This window comes from Homo sapiens, chromosome 2, assembly GCF_000001405.40.
Source record: "Homo sapiens chromosome 2, GRCh38.p14 Primary Assembly".
In the NCBI taxonomy this organism is placed as follows: domain Eukaryota; kingdom Metazoa; phylum Chordata; class Mammalia; order Primates; family Hominidae; genus Homo; species Homo sapiens.
The window spans coordinates 135,105,313-135,128,223 of record NC_000002.12 but is presented as its reverse complement, the minus strand read 5'-3'; the positions used below and the strand labels follow the sequence as shown (position 1 = coordinate 135,128,223).

Here is a 22,911-nt window from a genome sequence, read left to right as displayed (position 1 = left end):
CCTAGACAAATTCACCAATGGTGGACTTATACCTTATACATCTTTGTATTCACTATTATATAGTTAGCACAAATGGCAGCTACTAATCAGCATTTGACAAATAGCATATGAATGATAAAGAGCCCAAGAAAACAATGCTTTAGAGAAATGCATCATTACTGTCATAATAAATCTTTGGTAACTCCATCAGTTAAATGGTAATATATCAAGTGATAGAGAGTTAAGGTAGCATGGATGAACATAAAGAAAAGGAGAAAATATTTTCATGTGTACTAAATATAAGGAGGAAAAAGATGACAAGGCACACTGAGGAGATGGGTTCAAAAGACTTCATGGAAGAGATACACCTAAAAAAAGGGAAGGGGACGAATCCCAGACATAAGACACAATAATATTATCTGAATAGCAATTAATATTTTTCAAAGTACTTCCATTTGTGTTATTTCACTTGATCCCTCAAATAACCTTGTGAGGTGTATAAGATTATTCACATTTCTTTTCCCATATCAGAAAATAGGCTGCAGATGTGACACAACTCTATAGAAGGGCTCTAAAGCGCACCGTCAAAAACAGTGCTCTTCAGGTCGGGTGCGGCGGCTCACGTCTGTAATCCCAGCACCTTGGGAGGCCGAGGCGGGCGGATCATGAGGTCAGGAGATCGAGACCATCCTGGCTAACACGGTGAAACCCCGTCTCTACTAAAAACACAAAAAATTAAAGGGCGTGGTGGCGGGCGCCTATAGTCCCAGCTACTCCGGAGGCTGAAGCAGGAGAATGGCGTGAACCCGGGAGGCGGAGCTTACAGTGAGCCGAGATCGCGCCACTGCACTCCAGCCTGGGCGACAGGGTGAGACTCCCTCTCAAAACAAACAAACAAACAAACAAACAAACAAAACAGTGCTCTTCAGATAACACACGTCTAGAGGGGCAACAAAAGGCAAAAAGGGCTTCAATAACAGAAATAGAAGATGCAGACTATGCCACAGGAGGAAGGAAAGGGAGTAACATAAAAGCATCCGGAAAAAAAAAAAAAAAAGAAAAAGCATCTTAAGGCCGCGCGGTGGCTCATGCCTGTAATCTCAGCACTTTGGGAGGCCGAGGCGGGCGGATCACGAGGTCAGGAGATCAAGACTATCCTGGATAACACGGTGAAACCCCGTCTCTACTAAAAATACAAAAAATTAGCCAGGCATGGTGGCACACGTCTGTAGTCCCAGCTACTCGGGAGGCTGAGGGAGGAGAATCACTTGAACCCGGGAGGCAGAGGTTGCAGTGAGCCGAGACATGCCACTGCACTCCAGCCTGACAGAGACTCCGTCTCAAAAAATAAAAAATAAATAAAAAAAAGTAAATAAAAGCATCAGAAACATAAAGCTGAGATAATGAGAAAATAATGGAGAATTTGCTGGCACTATTCAAAAAAGGATTCACTGCTATTGGCAATGATTTTTTTCCTACATGGTGTTAACTGAAGAGGTGACAAAGTATAAAGAATGTATGCAGTGTCTCCGATTTGGAAGTTAGGCAGATCAGCAGTATTTCAGGAAAGGAGCATAATATACCTTACCTAGCAAACACTGAGGATTCTCAGCTTTTCGAACTCTAACAGACCAATGTGGAGCTTGAATAGGATCCAAATCACTAAAATGCAAACCAATAAATATAAAATCCTAATTATGACAATCTGCAAGATTCATGAACTTATTAAAATGCAGTCTAATGAAAACATAGAAGGACAAGCAATCCATTTAGCCTCCCTTAAACTTACTCTTATCCAGATACATGGAGCCATTTGGATAAGTTTTTAAAAAATAACATCATAAGAAATCAAAGTCCTTAGACAATAAAACACAAAAGGGAACACTAAAATCAAAACAAAATAATAAAAAATGCATATAAAAATTACTAGCAATTTGAGAGTTATTCTACTGAAGTTTTTTAATCTCAGTGTACTACTACTCTTAACATACTTACGAATAAACATCATTATCCACAATGATCCCTTCGGTCAGATGAGGCCATGTAGTAGCTAAATGGAGTTCACTAAAAAACATAAAATATACCCAAAAGCTTTAATACTGACTCAGCAATTATATTTAATACTTCTAGAAAACTATACCAAGGAAATAAAAGTATGTTACAGTGGCATTATTTATAATACAACATACTGGAAACAACTTATTTAGCAAATGGTAGCACATCCTTATGAAGTTAATGTTTTGCAAACATTCATCTCATTATACATAATAGCCAAAAAGCATAAATAACCCACCAACTAATGAATGGATAAACAAAATGTGGCATATCCATACAATGGTATATTTACAGCCATAAAAAGCACAGAAGTACATTAGTTCCTCCTTATCCACAGCTTCACTTTCTGCAGCTTCAGTTACCCTAAATCAACTGCAGTCTGAAAATATTAAGTGAAAAATTCCAGAAAAAAAATCCATAAATTTAAAGTTGCATGTTGTTCTGAGTAGCATGATGAAATCTTGTGCCATCCCACCCCATTAGGTGAATCATCCCTTTGTCTAGTGTACCTACACTGTCTATGCTACCTGCCCTGTTAGTCACTTAGTAACTGTCTTGGTGATCAGAGTGATCACAAGAAGAGTGTGCATAGTACAATGAGATATATTGAGAGAGACAGATCACATTCACATAACTTTCATTAAGGTATATTGTTATAGCTGTTCTATGTTATTATTAGTTATTATTGTCAATCTCTTACTATGCCTCATTTACATTTATTTATTTATTTTGTATTACATCACCTGGAAATCTTACTGTGCCAAATTTATAAATTAAATTTTACTACTTATCTGTATGCACAGGAAAAATATTTAGTGTGTGGTACTATCCATGTTTTCAGTCATCCACTGGGGATCTTGCAACATACCAGCTGTGGATAAGGGGGTACTACTGTACTGATTCATGCTACAACATGGACAAACCTTGAAAACATGCTAATTAAAATAAGTCAGACACAAAGAAAGCCACATGTTATATGATTCCATTTATAAGAAATGTCCAGAATAGGTAAATCCAAAGAGACAGAAAGTATATCAGTGTTTGCCTAGAGCCGGAGGGCTGAGAAGACTAAGGGGAAATGATGGCTAAGAGGTGAAGAATTTCTTTTTAAGGTTATGAAAATGTTCTGGAATTAGATGATTATGATGGTTGCACAGCTCTGTAAATATTAAAATACCATTGAATTGTACACTTTTAAATAGTGAATTTTATGGCAGGTAAATTATATCTCAAGTTTGAAAAATGTTATAAATCAGGAGTTGGCAAACATTTTCTATAAAGAGCCAGAGAGTAAATATTTTAGGTTTTGTGAACCATGCACAGTCTCTATTTTATTTTTTTTCTTTCATAACCTTTAAAAATGTAAACACCATCCTGACTTCACTGGCCATACAAAAATAGGCTAATGGCCAGATTTGGCAAAGGACACAGTTTGCTGAGTTATAGATGAATATCAAATCTCAGAAAGTTTTCATGTAAAATTATAAAATAAATAAAGCAAGTGTAGGTCTTTCTTTCTTTTTTTGAGACGGAGTCTTGCTCTGTTGCCCAGGTTGGAGTGCAATGGCGTGATCTTAGCTCACTGCAACCTCTGCCTGCCGGGTTCAAGTGATTCTTGTGCCTTAACCTCTTGAGTAGCTGGGATTACAGGTGTGCGCAACCACACCCAGTTAATTTTGACATTCTTTAGTAGAGATGGGGTTTCGCCACGTTGGTCAGGCTGTTCTCGAACTCCTGACCTCAGGGGCTGCCCACCGCAGCCTCCCAGAGCGCTAGGATTACAGGCATGAGCCTGTGCCCAGCCCAGGTGTACGTCTTTCTTTATTTCCAGTACTACATTCATCCCAGCAAGCTATAGCATCATAAAGCACAGTGAAATCAATATCAATATAAATTCAAAGTAAAATATTCCCACAATTCAAATGACAGGTTGAAATTCTCACCTAATAGGATCTTCGCAGGCACCAAATGGTAACTTGCCAAACTCCAAGCCTCCAACTTCTCCTCCTACAAGGGCATCTATGTCTAAACAAAAGAAATATTTTTCCATCATTTGGGAAAAAATAAAGAAGAGTCTAATCTAGTTAAGCCCTTTGGAATATCATAGCTTTAAAAGTGTCTGCAAGAGAACACATGTAGCAAGTTAGCAAGTTAGACCAACTTACAGCATATGTAGTCTAACAATATTTGACTTCCCCAGAGAATGTTACAGTAAAAGGGCACACTTATTTCCTATTTATCCAGTATTTCATTCAGGCCAGGTATTCTAAATTTTGCCCTTCTGAAATATTCCTTAAATATTACTCAAGAGAATATTATTTCTGTACATTTTTTTGCATTTTTAAAGAATGTAATTAGTATAACCCAAAAAGAGTATCCAAGTATTTAAAAATCACCAACTACATTAATCAGTTTTGCTATCAGTAATTTCTGAATAGGAAATTAGTATATTTGTCGTCATTAATAACATTATATTTTGGTTGATAGTAAATGGAAATATATAAAGATCAGAAAAGAACCTCCTTTCCATTACGAATGGCATACTAGACTGGAAGAGAACTTAGAGGGTAAATCATTCCCTTAGTTCTATCTCTCCTGAGGAAGTAATAAGCATTTCTAAAAGGCATCAAAAGGATTTTTTTCTCTTTGAAATAATACAAATTGTGATATTTAATTATTCACACTATACTAGGATTTCCTGAAATTAAAGCCTACTGAGTTAACAAAACTTCCCATATTTGCTAAAATCACATCTGATATTTATCTACATCCTAAGTAAATGATTAAAATTAGTCATCAAATATGAATCAATTACTTGATTCAGTAAATTTTCTCAAGTCAATTCCATTTTTCCAACTAAAGAATGCTTATAATAAGAAAGATCACAATGACTAGCATTGTTACAAGTGAGTTTGTAAAAGCTTCAAAATTACAAGCACATTTTTATAATTAGTAAATTAAAAATTATTACTAAAATATAACTGTACAAAAGTTTTAGCTGAATTAAAAAGGGAGAAGCAACTCGTGGAATGAAAAGCACATCGGACTTGGAGTTTGACTAGTGTTTGTATGCAAACTTTATCACTTGGTGACCATATGACTTTAAGCCAGTTACATGGGTTAAGAAACTTACATCTCTAAGAAAGACAATACTTGTCTTGGGCTGGGCACGGTGGCTCAAACCTGTAATTCCAGCACTTTGGGAAGCTGGGGAGGGTGGATCACCTGAGGTCAGGAGTTCGAGACCAGCCTGGCCAACATGGTGAAACCCCATATCTACTAAAAAATACAAAAATTAGCCAGGCGTGGTGGTGCATACCTGTAGTCCCAGAGACTCAGGAGGCTGAGGCTGAGGCAAGAGAATCGCTTGAACCCAGGAGGCAGAGGTTGCAGTGAGCCAAGATCATGCCACTGCACTCCAGCCTGGGTGACAAAGCAAGACTCTGTCTCAAAAAACAAAACAAAACAAAACAAAAGATAATAATAATTGTCTCACAGGTAAGTGAAAATTATACAAAATGGGATATAAAATATGAAAAGCACAGTATCTCATCCATATTATATGTTCAGTCCCTTCCCCCTTATAAAGGAAAATGTTAAGAATTTATATGGCTTTCAATCTACTGAGGGAGAAGGTTAATATTTTTAATCCCCATTTTAAAAACCTGACAATAGAAGATTAACAAAGACCTTATTGGCAATCTTATAATGCTAAGGTTCTAACTCTTGGGCTTCTTCACAGATCACGAGCAGACCACACTACCTTAGGAAATCTTTAAAACTGCTTTATAAGAGAGTAGCCTTGGAAGGAAAAAAAAGGAAGATAAGAATGGAAACTTCTAACCAGACATAGACTGTAAATTGTCCAGTGGGTACTGTTACCTGGGAACTAAAACTACCAACACAAACATTTGAGTGTTTCTTCTGATATAAATCTAAAGCTTAGCTTTTATTTCTCTGTTGTAGTCTAGATACGGTCCTTTTAGTGTACATTAGAGTTGAAAATTATTTTGTGGTATATAAAATAAAATAGTAGTAGTACATATAACTGCCAAAAGCTAAGGATATATTACATTAATTTTTTTTCTTTTTTTTTTGAGACAGGGTCTCACTCTGTCACCCAGGCTGGAGTACAGTGGCGCAATGTCAGCTCACTGCAACCTCCGCCTCCCAGGTTCAAGGGATTCTCCTGCCTCAGCCTCCAGAGTAGCTGGGATTATAGGCTCCTGCCACTGCACCTGGCTAATTTTTGTATTTTTAGTAGAGACAAGGTTTCACCATGTTGGCCAGGTTGGTCGTGAACTCCCGACCTCAGGTGATCTGCCTGCCTTGGCCTCCCAAAGGGCTAGGATTACAGGTGTGAGTCACCGTGCCCGGCCTGTATTATATTAATTTTTATATCATCTCATGCCTACCAATTTTTTCAATCCTATAAATAGCCAACTATTTGGAACAAAAATAAACAGTAAAGAATATTAGTTTATTTTATTTCTCTTTAGGAGAAGTAGATTAAAAAACGTTTTCAGGCTAGTAAAATTCTTATATTTTAAAAGTTTGTATTATATTCCTTATTAGATGTGCTTTAATATAATCAAACATGTGAAAGAAACACCCAGGAATCAAAATATTATTTAGGATATATGTCCATGAAACTGAGCTTTTCTAGAACTTAGGTAATGTGTTGCTCATATTGCTGTCTTAGCACCGCCTAGTCTCAGGTTAATAATTAATAATTGTTGAATGAATCTGTTTATCAAGGGTAAGCAGGCAAATTGATTTTGATTATATTTCTATAACATACAAGTTAATTATTATTTTTCCCCTACATATATTTTTCTTCTCTGCTTTCCTTGTTTAGCCCCCTTTCTTGAAACATTACTCTCTTTAAAGCTTTTTGCATGAGTGTTCTCAGTTTATGAGGGTGAGCTGAGAACAGCTCTTCTCTCATAATAGTCTAAAAACAGACATGTTAATCATTCGCTACATAGTAATTTATGGCACATGATGTGCCACAGCAAGGGGTGCCTTATAAATAAGGCTTTCAAAGACAGATTGTCAAATATAGAGTAATACTATCTCTAGAAAACCTACAGTTTTTCTTCAAGAGAAAAAAAATAAGGGCAATGAAAGCAATAATATTACATTTAAAATGAATCACAAATATTTCTAATGTAAAACACTTGAAACTCTTGTTAAGTAATTTTAATTTCTGAATGTATCTTCTTTTCCATTTATATTCAGTAAGTTAAATATAGTTCTAAATGATCTCACCTGGAGGTTGCTGAGGCCAAAAATACTGCTGCCAATCTTGAAGTACATAGGTAAATCGAATAGCAATACTAACTGGAGGCAATGGAGTTAAAGGACATCCCTAGGAAATACATGCAAAGACAATACCGTGTAAATGCTGGTACCCTTTTCATATTAATTCAACATCAAAATTTCAAACTTATGGAATGGATTAATACTACCTTTATGAAACCTGGATTTTCAGATTCTAGTGTTAAACAATAGTGTGCATATTCTAGTTATTAAAAACATGATATTCTAGCCATTCCAAAGGAAAAATAAGTCACCGAAGTCATTAGAGCCAAAGATGCAAAATTTAGGAAATCCTTTTCACAGAAGAAATTCTCACAGTCCAAAAGCTCAAGAGGTGGATCAGGGATGAACAGGAGGAAAGATCCCATAGTAAGGAACAGCAGTGGCAATTGTGAGACTGAATTTTAAAAAATGGAAAAGTAAACTTTCCAAAGAATCACTGTATTTTTGTCCACATATTTGTGTGTACAGAAGGATTTCCATAATTTCTGCATACTGCTTCCACAAATGTTTTCATTTGATGTAGCTAAAAAAAAGTTTCAAAAACAATGCCATAGCTTTAAAATAAAGCTGTTTAAACTGCTATTAGAAAAAGAGATATTACATTCTATTAAGCAAAATGCTCTTTAAAGTATCTTTTACTATTTTAATCATAAAATACCATTTCTTACTATTCACTTCAGACATATTAAATGTGAAAAAAAGGTGATTCATTTTTCAAATAAGTAAAAGTATTATAAAGCATAAGACTTGGTTTGGGGAGAGGATGTCTTTTCTTTTAAATGAAAATAAACTCAAATTAAAGCCACCCTTGAATATTTAACCAAAATTTCAGACTAAGAGAAATGAATGATCACTCACACAAAATAGATTAATGAATCAGCTAACAAAAGAAAACTTAGATTTATCTGTCAATTCACTAAAAATCACAAAACTTAATACTATCATTTAAACATCCTATGACCTCAGCTTCCCTTCATAATGCTTAATCTAAACTAATATAAAATAGGACTTAAATATGCATAGGAATCACCTAGGGAACTTGTGAAATGCAGATTCAATACTCTTCTGCATATCTAACCAGTTTCCAGATGCTGCTGTTCAGGAGACTACACTTTGAGTAGCAAAGGAATACATGACATTTACATTTAGCTCAGCAGCAGCATCTATAAATGTCACTAGTAGCTTTAAGAACACAAACTCAATTTGAAGTCACAATAGTAGACAGCTGCTCCCAAAAAACCTAATTCAGTTTTGGGCTCCTGTGCCCAACAGCAAGGTGAGATTTTGGCTGGTCAGTATATCAACTTTTTAGTCATGTCCAGATATCAAATGAGCATTCACCTATAATAAGGAGCAAATGTTCTAGAAGCCATAACAAGGCCACTTTGACACATAACCTCTGATCCAGTCACACAGATAAATACAAAAACAGATACCCAGAAAAGAAATAATTATGGCCAAGCGCAGTGGCTCACGCCTGTAATCCCAGCACTTTGGGAGGCCAAGGCGGGTGGATCATTTGAAATCAGGAGTTCAAGACCAGCCTGGCCAACATGGTGAAACCCCATTTCTAATAAAAATACAAAAATTAGCCGGGCAGTAGTGGTGCGCGCCTGTAGTCTCAGCTACTTGGGAGGCTGAGGCAGGAGAATCGCTTGATCCCGGGAGGCAGAGGTTGCAGTGAGCCAAGATCGTGCCACTGCACTCCAGCCTGGGTGACAGAGTGAAGCCCTGTCTCAAAAAAATAAGGACAGAAGGAAGGAAGGAAGGGAGGGAGGGAGGGAGGGAGGGAGGAAGGAAGGAAGGATTAGGATGAAAAATGATGGAAATATCTTTGTGGACCCTGGAGGATAAGTGGGGTTCAAGGCACATGCCTTGAGGTGTGGAAGGCGGCACTGACAACCTAGGATGAAACCAAAAGGGCTCAGTCCAGTGTGAGGGCATTGCAAGATTCTCTGCTTAAGCCAGACACTGGGACATGTCACTCCTGCTTGGCACAATGGCTTTATCGGAAGGTATGGGACTGGAGGTTATTGTGTGAGGGGAAAAAACCCTCACCCACATGTGGTGAGCAAACAACCCAAGATTCTAAGACCAGTTATCAAAATCCCCAACATTACTACAGAGCAAGAGACTCCAAACACTATTTTAAGACCTAATTCTGAAATATTCTGCAGGTAGGGAGTAACCATAAAACTACAGAATCACTAGAGAGGATGGATGGGAGTGAACATTAAAAATTTAAAATGAAACTCATTCAAAATGAGCCTACAAACTAAATTTCCCAAAACATAAAAAAGTAGTTCTAAAAGAGACAAATATCCAAATCAACAGTCATGATATAATACCATAAAATGTAAAGAACATCTCAAGAACTAAGAATGTCTAAGATGAAAAAGAAAAGATGAAGTTATGAAAGTTTTCAAATATTTAGAGGATTATGGCAGAAGAGGATTAAACTTAAGAACCCAAACCAGCTCTTAAGTTCAATTCTCTCAAATCAATTTTGAGAGATGTTTCTTATCAGAAAAGTAAGTTTTAGGTTTGTCAGATGATGAGATAAACTGATTAAAAACTTTTTTTTTTAACTACTGCTAATAAATAGCCAAGATGTAAGTTGGGTTCCACAGATCAATGTAGTCCCTAGCTTCAAAAAAGAGATGTGACATAAAAGATCTGAAGATCATATTCATTAATGATTTCTTAAGAAGAAGGACTAAGGCCCAGCGCGGTGGCTCATGCCTGTTATCTTGGCACTTTGGGAGGTTGGGCAGGCGGATTGCTTGAGCCTAGGAGTTGAAGACCAGCATGAGCAACAGGCTGGTCTCTACAAAAAATACAAAGATTAGCTGTGTGTGGTGATACACACCTATAGTCCCAAATATTCAGGAGGCCGAGGTGGGAGGAGTCAGTGACCCCAGGAGGTCGAGGCTGCAGTGAGCTGTAATCACGCCCTACACTGCAGCCTGGGTGACAGAGTGAGACTCTGTCTCAAACAAAAAAAGAAGAAGAAGAAGAAAGAAGAAGAAGAAAGAAGAAGAAGAAAGAAGAAGAAAGAAGAAGAAGAAGAAGAAGAAGCAGAAGAAGCAGAAGAAGCAGCAGAAGAAGCAGAAGCAGAAGAAGAAGCAGAAGAAGAAGAAGCAGAAGAAGAAGCAGAAGCAGAAGAAGCAGAAGAAGAAGCAGAAGCAGAAGAAGCAGAAGCAGAAGAAGCAGAAGCAGAAGAAGAAGCAGAAGCAGAAGAAGCAGAAGCAGAAGAAGCAGAAGAAGCAGCAGAAGAAGAAGCAGAAGAAGAAGCAGAAGAAGAAGCAGAAGAAGAAGAAGCAGAAGAAGAAGCAGAAGAAGCAGAAGAAGCAGAAGAAGAAGAAGAAGCAGAAGAAGAAGCAGAAGAAGCAGAAGCAGAAGCAGAAGCAGAAGAAGAAGAAGAAGAAGAAGAAGAAGAAGAAGAAGAAGAAGAAATAAAGTATTGATATTTCCATGTGACCAGAAACTTGATCTAAAAATTTTAAATATAATTGAAGACTTCTGGTGAGAGCAAAGGAAAACTAATGGAGAAGATACTAATAAATACTTGCCTTTTTCAAAAATTTCCCAAACTATATGTGGAATTAAGCAGTACCTATAGCACTTCAGAGCCCAGAAGGTTTTTGAAAAGAAAATTACATATATACACGGAATTCTCTAAAATAGAAGCACCTGTAATTTTTCTAATGGAGATAATCACAAGCCACTGCTAACAGTTGTCATTTTGAGGAGACAGGCAGAGAGGTAAAAGGAAGCTTTTACTCTAATTTCCTAATCTCGTAAATGCATTATTTTTTTTTTAATATCAAAGGGATTTATCTAGTTAGTAATAATCCTACCAGTACACTATTTAGGTCCTCAACATTAAAAACATATTTTTATGATTAAATTCTAATCCTAAATATCTTTCTAACAAATGTTATCTATTTAAAAAGAAATTTCAGCAATTTTTTCTTATAATTCTTTTTCTTTTGAAAATTCTCAAACCTTCAGAAAGATTGGAAAACTAGTATAATGAACACCCATATGACTTTCACGGAGTTCATAATTATTAACACTTTGCCACACATACACATATTATGCATATGACATTTTTTTGGCTGAATCTTCTGAAAAAGGCAGGCATCATAACAAATCACCCTTAAATACTTTAGCATGTAATTCCTAAGAACAAGGACATTAGTCTATACAACTATAATACAATTATCACACTCAATAAATTAAACATTGATACTATTTTCTAATATACAGTCCATATTAAAATCATCCCAATTGTCCCAATAATGTCCTTACTGGCTATTTTGTTTTGAAAAAGGATCCAATCAAGAATCATGTGTTGCATTTAGCTGTCAGGTTCCATTTTCTCCTTAAATCTGAATTGCTTCCAGCCTTTATTTTGCCTATCATGATACTGACCAGTTACTGTTGCAAAACATGGCTCACTTTGAAAATATGTGATTGCTTCCTCATGTTTTGATTTACAGTATGTTAAACATTTTGGCAGGAATGCCACATATATAATTATATATCATAATTAATATATTTATTTATAATCGATATACTTCATTGTAATATACATATAATCAATATCCTAATCAATATACTTAATATTTAAGTGCTAAAGCTGCCACTATCTCACTTAAGTGGCCAAATGTGACTAATAGCCATCACACGACACATGATGTCAGTTTATTAATCAACTGTGAGATAGTGAGATAGTGTCATGTTTAGCACTTAACATACTCCAAATTTAAATCAGCATCCTAATAACCTAAGAGTAATATTTCTCTAAGTAGAGGATCCCTTCCACTATTGGTTATCTAGCTTTCTCTGTTTTCTAGAGGTATTCACAAACAGCTCCTCAACTTAAGCCCTCATCAGCCCCATTCCCCCCAACCCCACAGAGCAGCACAGGCAAGTCCTCCATAGCTATAGACAGTGTTGTTATAGAATATAAGAATATATTTAGCATGTCCCATTTAGCCCTGCTGCTCTCAGGCCTAGGATATAAGCCAGATTAACCTTGAAAATTAAATCAAATAAAGATTTGGGGGAAAAAATGCAATTCAGAACCCAAAGTGTTTAGACCTTAAGGAGCTCATAGTCAAATGCTTCAAATGCTCAAACAAGCAGCTACCTGAGCCCCATTAAGCTTAGGAGACTGGCAATATTACCAATAGAGGACAAGGAGTAGAAGAGATAACACAGTCAATAAATGCTAACAGACTGAACAAACAAACAGACAAATCAGTTGTTGCTTTAGCATGAGTACACTAAAAATACAATTGGATATTTTGTTTCTTAGAAATTACAAAGTAATTTATGTAGTCACTTATAGCTTTCTTCTAAGCAATTACATTATCAATATTATAGAGAAATGTTTCTATATGCTGAATAAAATGATCAAATCTCTACTTTTATCTGGATCTCAGATAAGACTGACAATATCAATCCCAACTCACAATCTTTGATTTGAAGATATCCAGCAGACCTGATAAGTGAGTGTACTGATTTGGCACTTTTCTAAGATGAACCATTTCGAAATCAGTTCGTACACCAGGACCTTGACATTCTCCTACATACATTCTTCGCCATTTGTGGTGAATTTGCACAAAGAGTGGCACCTGACTGCAAGACATGATTAAATAGGAATGGAATACAAGCTCATTAAACATTAAACCTGAACCTCAAATTTTTTCCAAATTATTTTAATCTCAAGAATTTGAAAGCACTAAACTGGAAACACAACAAAAACACAGGTTTGTGTGTATAACAAAGACATTCTTAGTTCCTTTTTCTCCTTACAATACCAAACTGAAGAAACTATCATCTAGAAGTACTTTGATTAGTCTGAAAATTGTTTTAGAACAGCTAAAAGTCAGAAAACATCAGAATGAAAACTGTCTTGAGTAAAAGTGATTATTTCATATTAGTCTTTCCAAAGTGATAATAAAACCTAACTTACAGGTATTAAACAATATAAATTAAGCCAATATTGTGGTGAAATATTTTTCACATCATTTAAAGATAAAGTAAGGCTCCCAAGCACAAGAAGGTTGTGATGTGCCTTAGAGAGAATACGTGTTAACACACGTATTTTCCCAGAAGCATCATTCATGCACAAGTTACATTGCTTTTGGCTACAAGTTCAATGTTAATGACTCAACAATGTATATTAAATAAGCTATCTTTAAACAGAAACACACATAAAAGAAGGTTATGTATTAACTGATTGACAAAAAATGTGACCAGAGGCTCGAAGGAACCCAAGTCTGTATTTCTCCTAGGAGAAACAGATGAGGAATTGATAACTCAGTGTTTGTGGCAACTTTATAGCACATAACTACCTTAAATAACAAGAAAGGATTGTACAAATATATCCCCAAGTTAATAATCCTACATTAGTAAATATTCTAGCAAAATTATTCACTTAGGATATACCATGGAGTACATCCACTAAAATAAATTAATTCTTCCCCAGTAGATTTAGAGTATCATAGTCTATTCGATATGCAAATGAAATACAATTCAAAATAGCAGAATAGTGATTAAACAAATTTCATTTTCTTAAATACTTCCATTTAAGAATAGGGCCTAAAGGTACTGAAAATTAACTTTTAAAAAAGTTATTCCAGATATACATTGAATTGTTTCAGGAAGATTACCTTTAGAAATGGCTTCCATTTAGGTTTTATTAGTTTTGTCCTTATATACCAAATTCCAGTATAAAAACATGCAGATATATTGTTAAAAGAAAAATTTTCAACTAATTAAACTTAATGGAGTTTACTTAAGACTGGGCACAGTCGCTTACACCTATAATCCTAGCATTCTGGAAGGCCGCGGCGGGCGGATCATCTGAGGTCAGGAGTTCAAGACCAGCCTGGCCAACATAGTGAAACCCCATCTCTACTGAAAATTTAAAAAATAAAAATAAAAATTAGCCAAGGGTGGTGAACACCTGTACTCCCAGATACTCGGGAGGCTGAGACAGGAGAGTCGCTTGAACTCAGGAGGTGGAGGCTGCAGTGAGCCCAGACTGTGCCACTGCACTCCAGCCTGGGCAACAGAGCAAGACTACGTCTCGAAAAAAAAAAAAAATTTTATTTGAGCAAAAATGAGTTGAGAATCACATAGTCTTCAGAACCAGTGGAGGTTCAGACAGATCAGCTCTGTAAGGTGGGCAGGCAGCATTTATAGACAGAAAATGGAAGTAAGGTACAGAAACAGCTTGATTGGTTACAGCTCGGAGTTTGCTTCATTTGTGCATGCTCTGATCAGTTGCCCTGTGATTGACTGAACCTCAGCTGCTGTGACTGGCTGGGACTCAGTTAATTGTTCCAAAAGTATACTCCTAAATTAAGCTTTCAGTTTGTACACGGAATAAGTTAGGTAGCAGTTCTTTAAATAGGGAGCGGATACAGAGGTAACCTCAAGTCAAATTTAGTTTAACAATATATATGCACTAAGTTCCTAATTACAGTTAAAAAGCTAACATTTAATAACTGTTTGCCTTCATAAATTATTGTTAAAAACAGTTTTTTTGTCTAGGTTTTAAAAAATGTCCACTCACCAGCCAGTGTTTCCCAAGGCAATAGAAACAGAACTCAGAAGAAGGTTGCACTTAGATTCGCTGAGAACAGCGTCACTGTGTGCAGCAGGGGCAATCACCACGAACTCACGTAGCCCATACCTTAAAAAAAGAATTAACTGCATTAAACAGGGGAAACCTCAGAACACAAAAATCCATTACTTGAAAAGCACAAAAAAATTTCACTACAGAAAATTTAACAAGTCAGGTTTAAACTAAAAGTGTTTCTTTTAATGGCAACAGAACCTACAAGACCTCAACTTTAAGAAGCACTTCCATCATCCACCTACTAGTTCCCCTCTATTCTTTACAAATTAGAAACAATTTGCTGAAATCTAAATTTGATTCAGCTAAAATAGGCTCAGATATATTTGCGTGCCCATCTGTGTGTGTGTGTGTGTGTGTGTGTGTGTGTGTGAGAGAGAGAGAGAGAGAGACTTTGACAGTTGTAAATACTTTTTCCGCTTTGCCTACTTTATGTTGTATACCCATGTGTTTACTAACAAGTTGATCACATGGGTGTATTCATAAGACCACTGTAATATTGATGTTATTGTTGCCGCTTGAGAAAAAAAGGTCAACAGCTGATTCCTTAAAACAACTGTCACAGAATGGCTGGGCTGAGAACGCTGCCAAGAGCCCTGCAGCTGGTGGGAGAAGTGTCTGGTGGGAGAGGTGTGTGGTGGGAGAGGTGTCTGATGCCTCGGCCTGCTGCTTCACATCTCTCACTCAAGAGTTTCTTCTGGTTTCACACTTTTTAACCTCTCCGTGCTTTAGCAGCCGTGACCTTGCCTTCATTGCTTCATCCAGTGCAGGCCTGGGTTATTGAAGACACCAAAGTGTTTCTCTTTCAGCTTGAAAACCAGGCAGGTTTACACATGGGTTTCAGTGTATTTGCCTTTGAACCCTTAACTAAACTTTAGCCTTTTGGCTGGTATAGAATGTCTTTAGCTGGGGTGACCTGGGACGGTGTTGCGGTTTACCGTCTCCAGCTTCAGCCTTTCCAGAAACCCTTGTGGAAGGCAGTATCGGCTGTAGGTTTCATCATCATATTACAGTTTGAGGTCACCACTATTTGGGGGACAAGCTTGCGTCCTGCTGAGGGGCAGGGTTTTCAGCAGAGGGTCAGTGGTGGGGCTGGGCCATCGTGGAGGTGGCCCCAGGAGTTGTATGGCCATGCATATGGCCATGCTCTAACACATTCCGTGTGGTCTGCTCAGAGCTGGATGCCTCCTTTAGGCAAGGTTTACAGTCTATTTTCTAAAGTTTTAAGTATTTTTAAGAGGTATTGAGACTAATGAATATAATAGTTGAGTAATTTAAATGTTTATTTTTAATGGAAGGATTTTTACTAAAAAGAAGCTAATTGACATGGAAATGTCAGTGAAATTCCTTACCTACAAGGAAAGTAAACATTTTGTATCTAAGTAAACTATAATGTGCACATTTTAAGTATAAAGAAATCTGATATTTGAAAGAAAAAAAAGAAACAATTTGCTGAAATCACAAGGACCATTAAACAATAGTTTTGCCTTTAAAGTTAAGTTTACAAGATAAAAGAGGCAAGTATTGAAACTTTGCTTTAATGAACTGATACCACTAAGTCTGCAGATGAAGAAACTTTGACAGATTCCCTAAACTGCAGGAAAATTATCAGCAATGATGTATATGTCCTTTCTAAATGTGAGAACACAGTTTACTAAGTATCCTAATTAAAGAATTCTTGTGTTCTTTTACTCAATAACACATTAAAAAGGGGTTAAAAAATTATCATAAAGCAGCTTGATCTTGCTATGACATCTACATTAATTAAAACTTCTCATTCAGTTGCCATATCCTTTAAAGTCACAAATTTGCTGCCAAATTTTTATGAAAATAAAGTCAAACTGATTATCCTGTATACTGAAAATTCCTCTCCTATTCACTCTTTAATGTATTTATATTTAATATTTTTTAATAAAGAAAATAACTTATGAGAGATTTTACTCATTTGCCTAATTTATTATCTCTGGTATATAAAGAATTATTAATCCTTATTTTTATAAACATCCTCCTCAAGAAATGCCCCAAACAGGAGTAATGATTTAAAAAATTAAGTTTAATTCATAATGTTTATTATTTAGATGACAAAAACTTATTTCATTTCCTCACCCTACCTCCACCCTCCTAGCCCTGAAATCAAAATTAGTTATGCAGAGGCAGCATAAAATAATGAAAATAATCTAGAGCTTTAAAAATTGAGCTCTAAAGATCTTTGAAAAATAGTTTTCTTTTTTTCAAATGTCCCTGGAAGAAAGAAAACAAAACAAGTGAACATCCCCGTTCCATCCTCTGTACTTGTATAAAATCACTGTCAACAGTTTCTTGGTTATTCTTCCAGAAATGTTCCATTTATCTGCGTAACCACCCTACCCTCAAATACAATTATATTATTTGTATACACTTTGTAAAGCTTCTTTTCAAAAGTACAATCCCCTATTGATCAGTACTTTATTTCCAGTTTTATGCTGCTGCAACAATACTGCAACTGTTTTTCTACATCTATATCTCTATAATAAATTTCTAGTGGTTGCTGGATAAAAGAACATTTGCATTTTAACACTGATAGCTGTTGCTAACCTCCTTACTGTACACACACACAATGCCACTGTATACAAGCCATGAATAACAAGCCAAACTGAATTGCCATTTATCTGCAATCTACCTTCTATCCCCTAAGCCTTTCTTTCCTCTATCTATTGATAAAATGTCTCCCCCCATCCATTCTACTGCCATTACTAAATACACAAATCCTGACAAATTCTTTAAAGATTTACCTTGCCAGGTGTGGTGGCTCACACCTGTAATGCCAGTATCTTGGCAGGCCAAGACAGGAGGATCACTTGAGCTTAGGAGTTCAAGACCAGCCTAGGCAACATAGCAAGACCCACTCTCTACAAAAAATTGTAAAAATTAGCTGGGCATGGTGGAGAGCGCCTGTAGTCCCAGCAGCTTGGGAGGCTGAGGTGGGAGAACTGCTTGAGGCCAGGAGGTCAAGGCTGTAGTGAACCATCATCACACCACTGCACTCCAGCCTGGGAAGCAGAGTGAAACCTCATCTCAAAAAAAAAAAGGATTTACCTCAAATATCACTCTTGATAAATGTACTCTCTTCTTTATGATCTTTAAAATGTCAATATAAGTCACTACTTTTTCCCCAATAGGTCTACTTGAATCCTGAGACTATGTCTTCATCAAAAGTAAACTAACATTACGTGGGAGCTTTAAAAAAAAAATAAGCGAAAATCAACAACAACAACAAAAAACAACCAACCAGATTTTAAAATGGGCAAAGGACTTGGATGGATGTCACTCAAAAGAAAATACACAAAGGCCGGGAGCGGTGGCTCACACCTGTAATCCCAGCACTTTGGGAGGCCGAGGCAGGCGGACCATGAGGTCAGGAGATCGAGACCATCCTGGCTAACATGGTGAAACCCTATCTCTACTGAAAATACAAAAAAATTAGCTGGGCGTGGTGGTGGGCGCCTGTAGTCCCAGCTACTCAGGAGGCTGAGGCAGGAGAATGGCGTGAACCCAGGAAGTGGAACTTGCAGTGAGCCGAGATTGCGCCACTGCACTCCAGCCTGGTGACAGAGCAAGGCCCTGTCTCTTAATAAAAAATTAAAAAAAAAAAAAATTTTTTTTGGAGAGCAAAAGGGAAGAATATATCAATATTTAAAATGGACAAAACTCAAACGAATTACATATTTCTTTATATCTATGCTACAAAACCATTCATACAAATGCAAAAAGGTGTATGTACAGTGATTTTCACTATAATATTTTAATTTAATTGTAAAAATCTAGAAACAATCTAAATATTCTTCAATAGAGGAGTGGCAAAATAATTATGGTTACCACCACCAATACCACCACACACACACATAATAAAGAAATATTCTATATTCATGGATAGGAAGATAATATTATCAAGATATTAGTTCTTTCCAACTTCATCTACAGATTCAATGCAATCTCAATCAAAATCTCAGCAAGTTATCGTGAGGATATCCACAAACTGAGTTTAAAGTTCACAAGCAGAAGCAAAAAAAGACTCAAAGTAGCCAATAAAATATTGAAGAAGAAGAAAGTTGGAGAACTAACACTATCAAACTTCAAGCACTACTATAAAGCTACAGAAATCAATACAGTGTGGTAATGGCAAAAGAACAAATAGGGATCAATGGAACAGAATAGACAGCCTAAAAATAGACCCAGATAAATATAGTCAACTAATCTCTGAAAAGGAACAGAGGCAATACAATGGAGATAGTCTTTTCAACAAATGGTGTTAGAACAACTGGACATCCACATACAAAAAAATTAATCTAGATAGGCTTTACATTCTCCACAAAAACTAACTTAAAATGGATTACAGACCTGAATATAAAATGCAAAGTTATAAAACTCCTAGAACACAGAATAAAATCTAGATAACTTTGAGTTTGTTGATGACCTTTTAGATGCAACACCAAAGGCACAATCCAGAAAAGAACAAACTGATACGCTAGACTTCATTAAAATTAAAAATTTTTGCTCTGCAAAAGACACTGTCAAGAGAATGAAAGAGAAAACCATAGTCTGGGAGAAAATATTTGCAAAAGACATTTCAGATAGAGGACTGTTATCTAGAATCTACAGAGAACTCTTAAAACTCAAAAATAAGAACATAATCGAAGCTAAAAAAAAAAAAAAGCCCCAAAGACTTCAACCAGACACCTCACCCAAGAAGATATAAAGATAGCAAACAAGCGTATGAAAAGATGTTCCATATCACATGTAATCAGGGAAGTGAAATTAAAACAGTGAGAGACCACTACATACCTACTAGGGTGAGTTTCATTAATAAATCATTATATTTCCTACAATTTCTAGCCCAGTAACTTAAATTTATTAGGAGATCAAATGTATCAACACAAATTAAAATGTCACAATTGCACTTCTTAATGAAAGAACTGTTTCATCTGAATAACAGATTGCATATGTATACTAAATACTATATTTAAATATAAATGTGCTTTAGCATCCCATCCTCCAAATGAGAAAGGTAGGACAATCAACCATTCATTTTTGTTTTAAGATGCATTTTTCTTTCCTGTACCAATAAAGATCAAAAGTAACAACAACAAAAAGTTAACCAATATTTGATATATTTGTTGTTACTCTCACATAGGCAAATCATAAAACCATACCACTTATTTTGTGTAGTTTTTTTTTTTTTTTTTTTTTTTTTTTGAGATGGAGTTTCACTCTTCTTGCCCAGGCTGGAGTGCAATGGCACAATGTCGGCTCACTGCAACCTCCATCTCCCAGGTTCAAGTGATTCTCCTGTCTCAGCCTCCTGAGTAGCTGGGATTACAGGCATGTGCCACCACACCTGGCTAATTTTTTTGTATTTTTAGTAGAGACGGGGTTTCACCATGTTAGCCAGGATGGTCTCGATCTCCTGACCACGTGATCCACCCAAAGTGCTGGGATTACAGGCGTGAGCCACCGCACCCAGCCATACCACTTACTTTGAATGCTACCATTCTACAACTCTCACATATATTACCTTAGAAAGAAATAGATTAAGGACCTCTTTAAAAAAATGGTATAAAAAAGTTAAATATCTATCACTTACAAAAATACCTGGGTAACTGGAGGTGCTCAAACAATTCATTTTTTGAATTTATTTTTAGTAACTTTTTTAGATATTATAATACACATCTTTAATTTATAATCTATTCAGGTTATTCTAGTAAAATCTACCAATTTTATATAGTATAACTCCATTCCTTCCCCCTTCCTTTGTGCAATATTGTCATATATATTACATATTACATATGTTATAAACCCAACAATATAGTGCTGTCATTATTGCTTAAGCAATCTTACGCTTTTTTTAAATTATGAGAATATATTTATTGTATTTACTAGAGTATTTCCAATGCTCTTCATTCTTTTCTATGGATTCAAGTTACCCTCTATGTCTTTTAGTATTACTTGTAAGGCAAGGATGAATTCTGCCAATCTTTGTTTACATAAGAATGTCATTATTTCATCTTTATTTTTGAAATATAGTTTCACTGGATATAGAATTCTTGGTCAACAGTGGTTTTTTTTTTTTTTTCTCCCTTTCAGAACTTTGTGTCATTGCACTGCCCTCTGGCCTCCACTGTTTCTGATGAGAAGTCAGCCAAGGGTATTGTTCTCTAGTACATGAGAAGTCATTTTTCTCTTGCTGCCTATAAGATTTTCTTTCCATCTAAGGTATTCAGCAGGTTGCCCATACTATGTCTAGGGGTGGTTCTCTTTTGTGTTTATCCTACTTAAGATTCACTAAGACTTCCAGTTCTGAGTGTTTTTAATCAAATTTGGAAAATTCTCAGCCATTATTTCTTCACATTTGTTTTTCCTTTTTTTTTTCAGCTTGCTTTTTTTTTTACTTTTTTATTTTTTTATTTTTTTTTTTAGTATTTATTGATGATTCTTGGGTGTTTCTCGGAGAGGGGGATTTGGCAGGGTCATAGGACAATAGTGGAGGGAAGGTCAGCAGATGAACAAGTGAACAAGGGTCTCTGGTTTTCCTAGGCAGAGGACCCTGCGGCCTTCCGCAGTGTTTGTGTCCCTGGATACTTGAGATTAGGGAGTGGTGATGACTCTTAAGAAGCATGCTGCCTTCAAGCATCTGTTAAACAAAGCACATCTTGCACCGCCCTTAATCCATTTAACCCTGAGTGGACACAGCACGTTTCAGAGAGCACGGGTTGGGGGTAAGGTTATAGATTAACAGCATCCCAAGGCAGAAGAATTTTTCTTAGTACAGAACAAAATGGAGTCTCCTATGTCTACTTCTTTCTACACAGACACAGCAACAATCTGATTTCTCTATCGTTTCCCCACATTTCCCCCTTTTCTATTCGACAAAACCGCCATTGTCATCATGGCCCGTTCTCAATGAGCTGTTGGGTACACCTCCCAGACGGGGTGGCGGCCAGGCAGAGGGGCTCCTCACTTCCCAGAAGGGGCCGCCGGGCAGAGGCACCCCCCACCTCCCGGACGGGGCGGCGGCCGGACGGAGGCACCCCCCACCTCCTGGACGGGGCGGCTGGCAGGGCGGGGGCTGACCCCCACCTCCCGGATGGGGCGGCTGCCGGGCCGAGACGCTCCTCACTTCCCAGATGGGGCGGCTGCCGGGCGGAGGGGCTCCTCACTTCTCAGACGGGGCAGCTGCCGGGCGGAGGGGCTCCTCACTTCTCAGACGGGGCGGCTGCCGAGCGGAGGGGCTCCTCACTTCTCAGACGGGGCGGCCGGGCAGAGATGCTCCTCACCTCCCAGATGGGGTCGCGGCTGGGCAGAGGTGCTCCTCACATCCCAGACGGGGCGGCGGGGCAGAGGCGCTCCCCACATCTCAGACGATGGGCGGCCAGGCAGAGACGCTCCTCACTTCCTAGACAGGATGGCGGCTGGGAAGAGGCGCTCCTCACTTCCCAGACTGGGCAGCCAGGCAGAGGGGCTCCTCACATCCCAGACGATTGGCGGCCAGGCAGAGACGCTCCTCACTTCCCAGATGGGGTGGCGGCCGGGCAGAGGCTGCTATCTCAGCACTTTGGGAGGCCAAGGCAGGCGGCTGGGAGGTGGAGGTTGTAGCGAGCCGAGATCACGCCACTGCACTCCAGCCTGGGCAACATTGAGCACTGAGTGAACGAGACTCCGTCTGCAATCCCGGCACCTCCAGAGGCCGAGGCTGGCAGATCACTCGCGGTTAGGAGCTGGAGACCAGCCCGGCCAACAGAGTGAAACCCCGTCTCCACCAAAAAAATACGAAAACCAGTCAGGCGTGGTGGCACGTGCCTGCAATCCCAGGCACTCGGCAGGCTGAGGCAGGAGAATCAGGCAGGGAGGTTGCAGTGAGC

At 37.6% G+C, this 22,911-nt stretch overlaps 1 protein-coding gene across 6 annotated transcripts in view; it reads right to left on the bottom strand.

Annotated features, from left to right (window-relative positions):
• Nucleotides 1-22,911, bottom strand: part of RAB3GAP1 (RAB3 GTPase activating protein catalytic subunit 1) — a 124,105-nt gene that overhangs the window by 48,173 nt on the left and 53,021 nt on the right. For 5 of the 6 annotated variants that reach the window (XR_001738674.3, XM_011510823.4, NM_001172435.2 and 2 more), the window contains exons 6-11: nt 14,954-15,073; nt 12,843-13,008; nt 7,306-7,405; nt 3,978-4,059; nt 1,975-2,043; nt 1,568-1,641 (exon numbers count right to left, since the gene is read on the bottom strand). Coding sequence is in view for 4 of the 6 variants with exons in the window: in XM_011510823.4 (XP_011509125.1) it covers nt 1,568-1,641; nt 1,975-2,043; nt 3,978-4,059; nt 7,306-7,405; nt 12,843-13,008; nt 14,954-15,073 (611 nt within the window). In the remaining 2 variants the exon portion in view is untranslated. Of the gene's footprint in view, nt 1-561; nt 623-1,567; nt 1,642-1,974; nt 2,044-3,977; nt 4,060-7,305; nt 7,406-12,842; nt 13,009-14,953; nt 15,074-22,911 lie in introns of those variants that run through there. The other variant, XM_047443732.1, reaches the window with a different exon arrangement.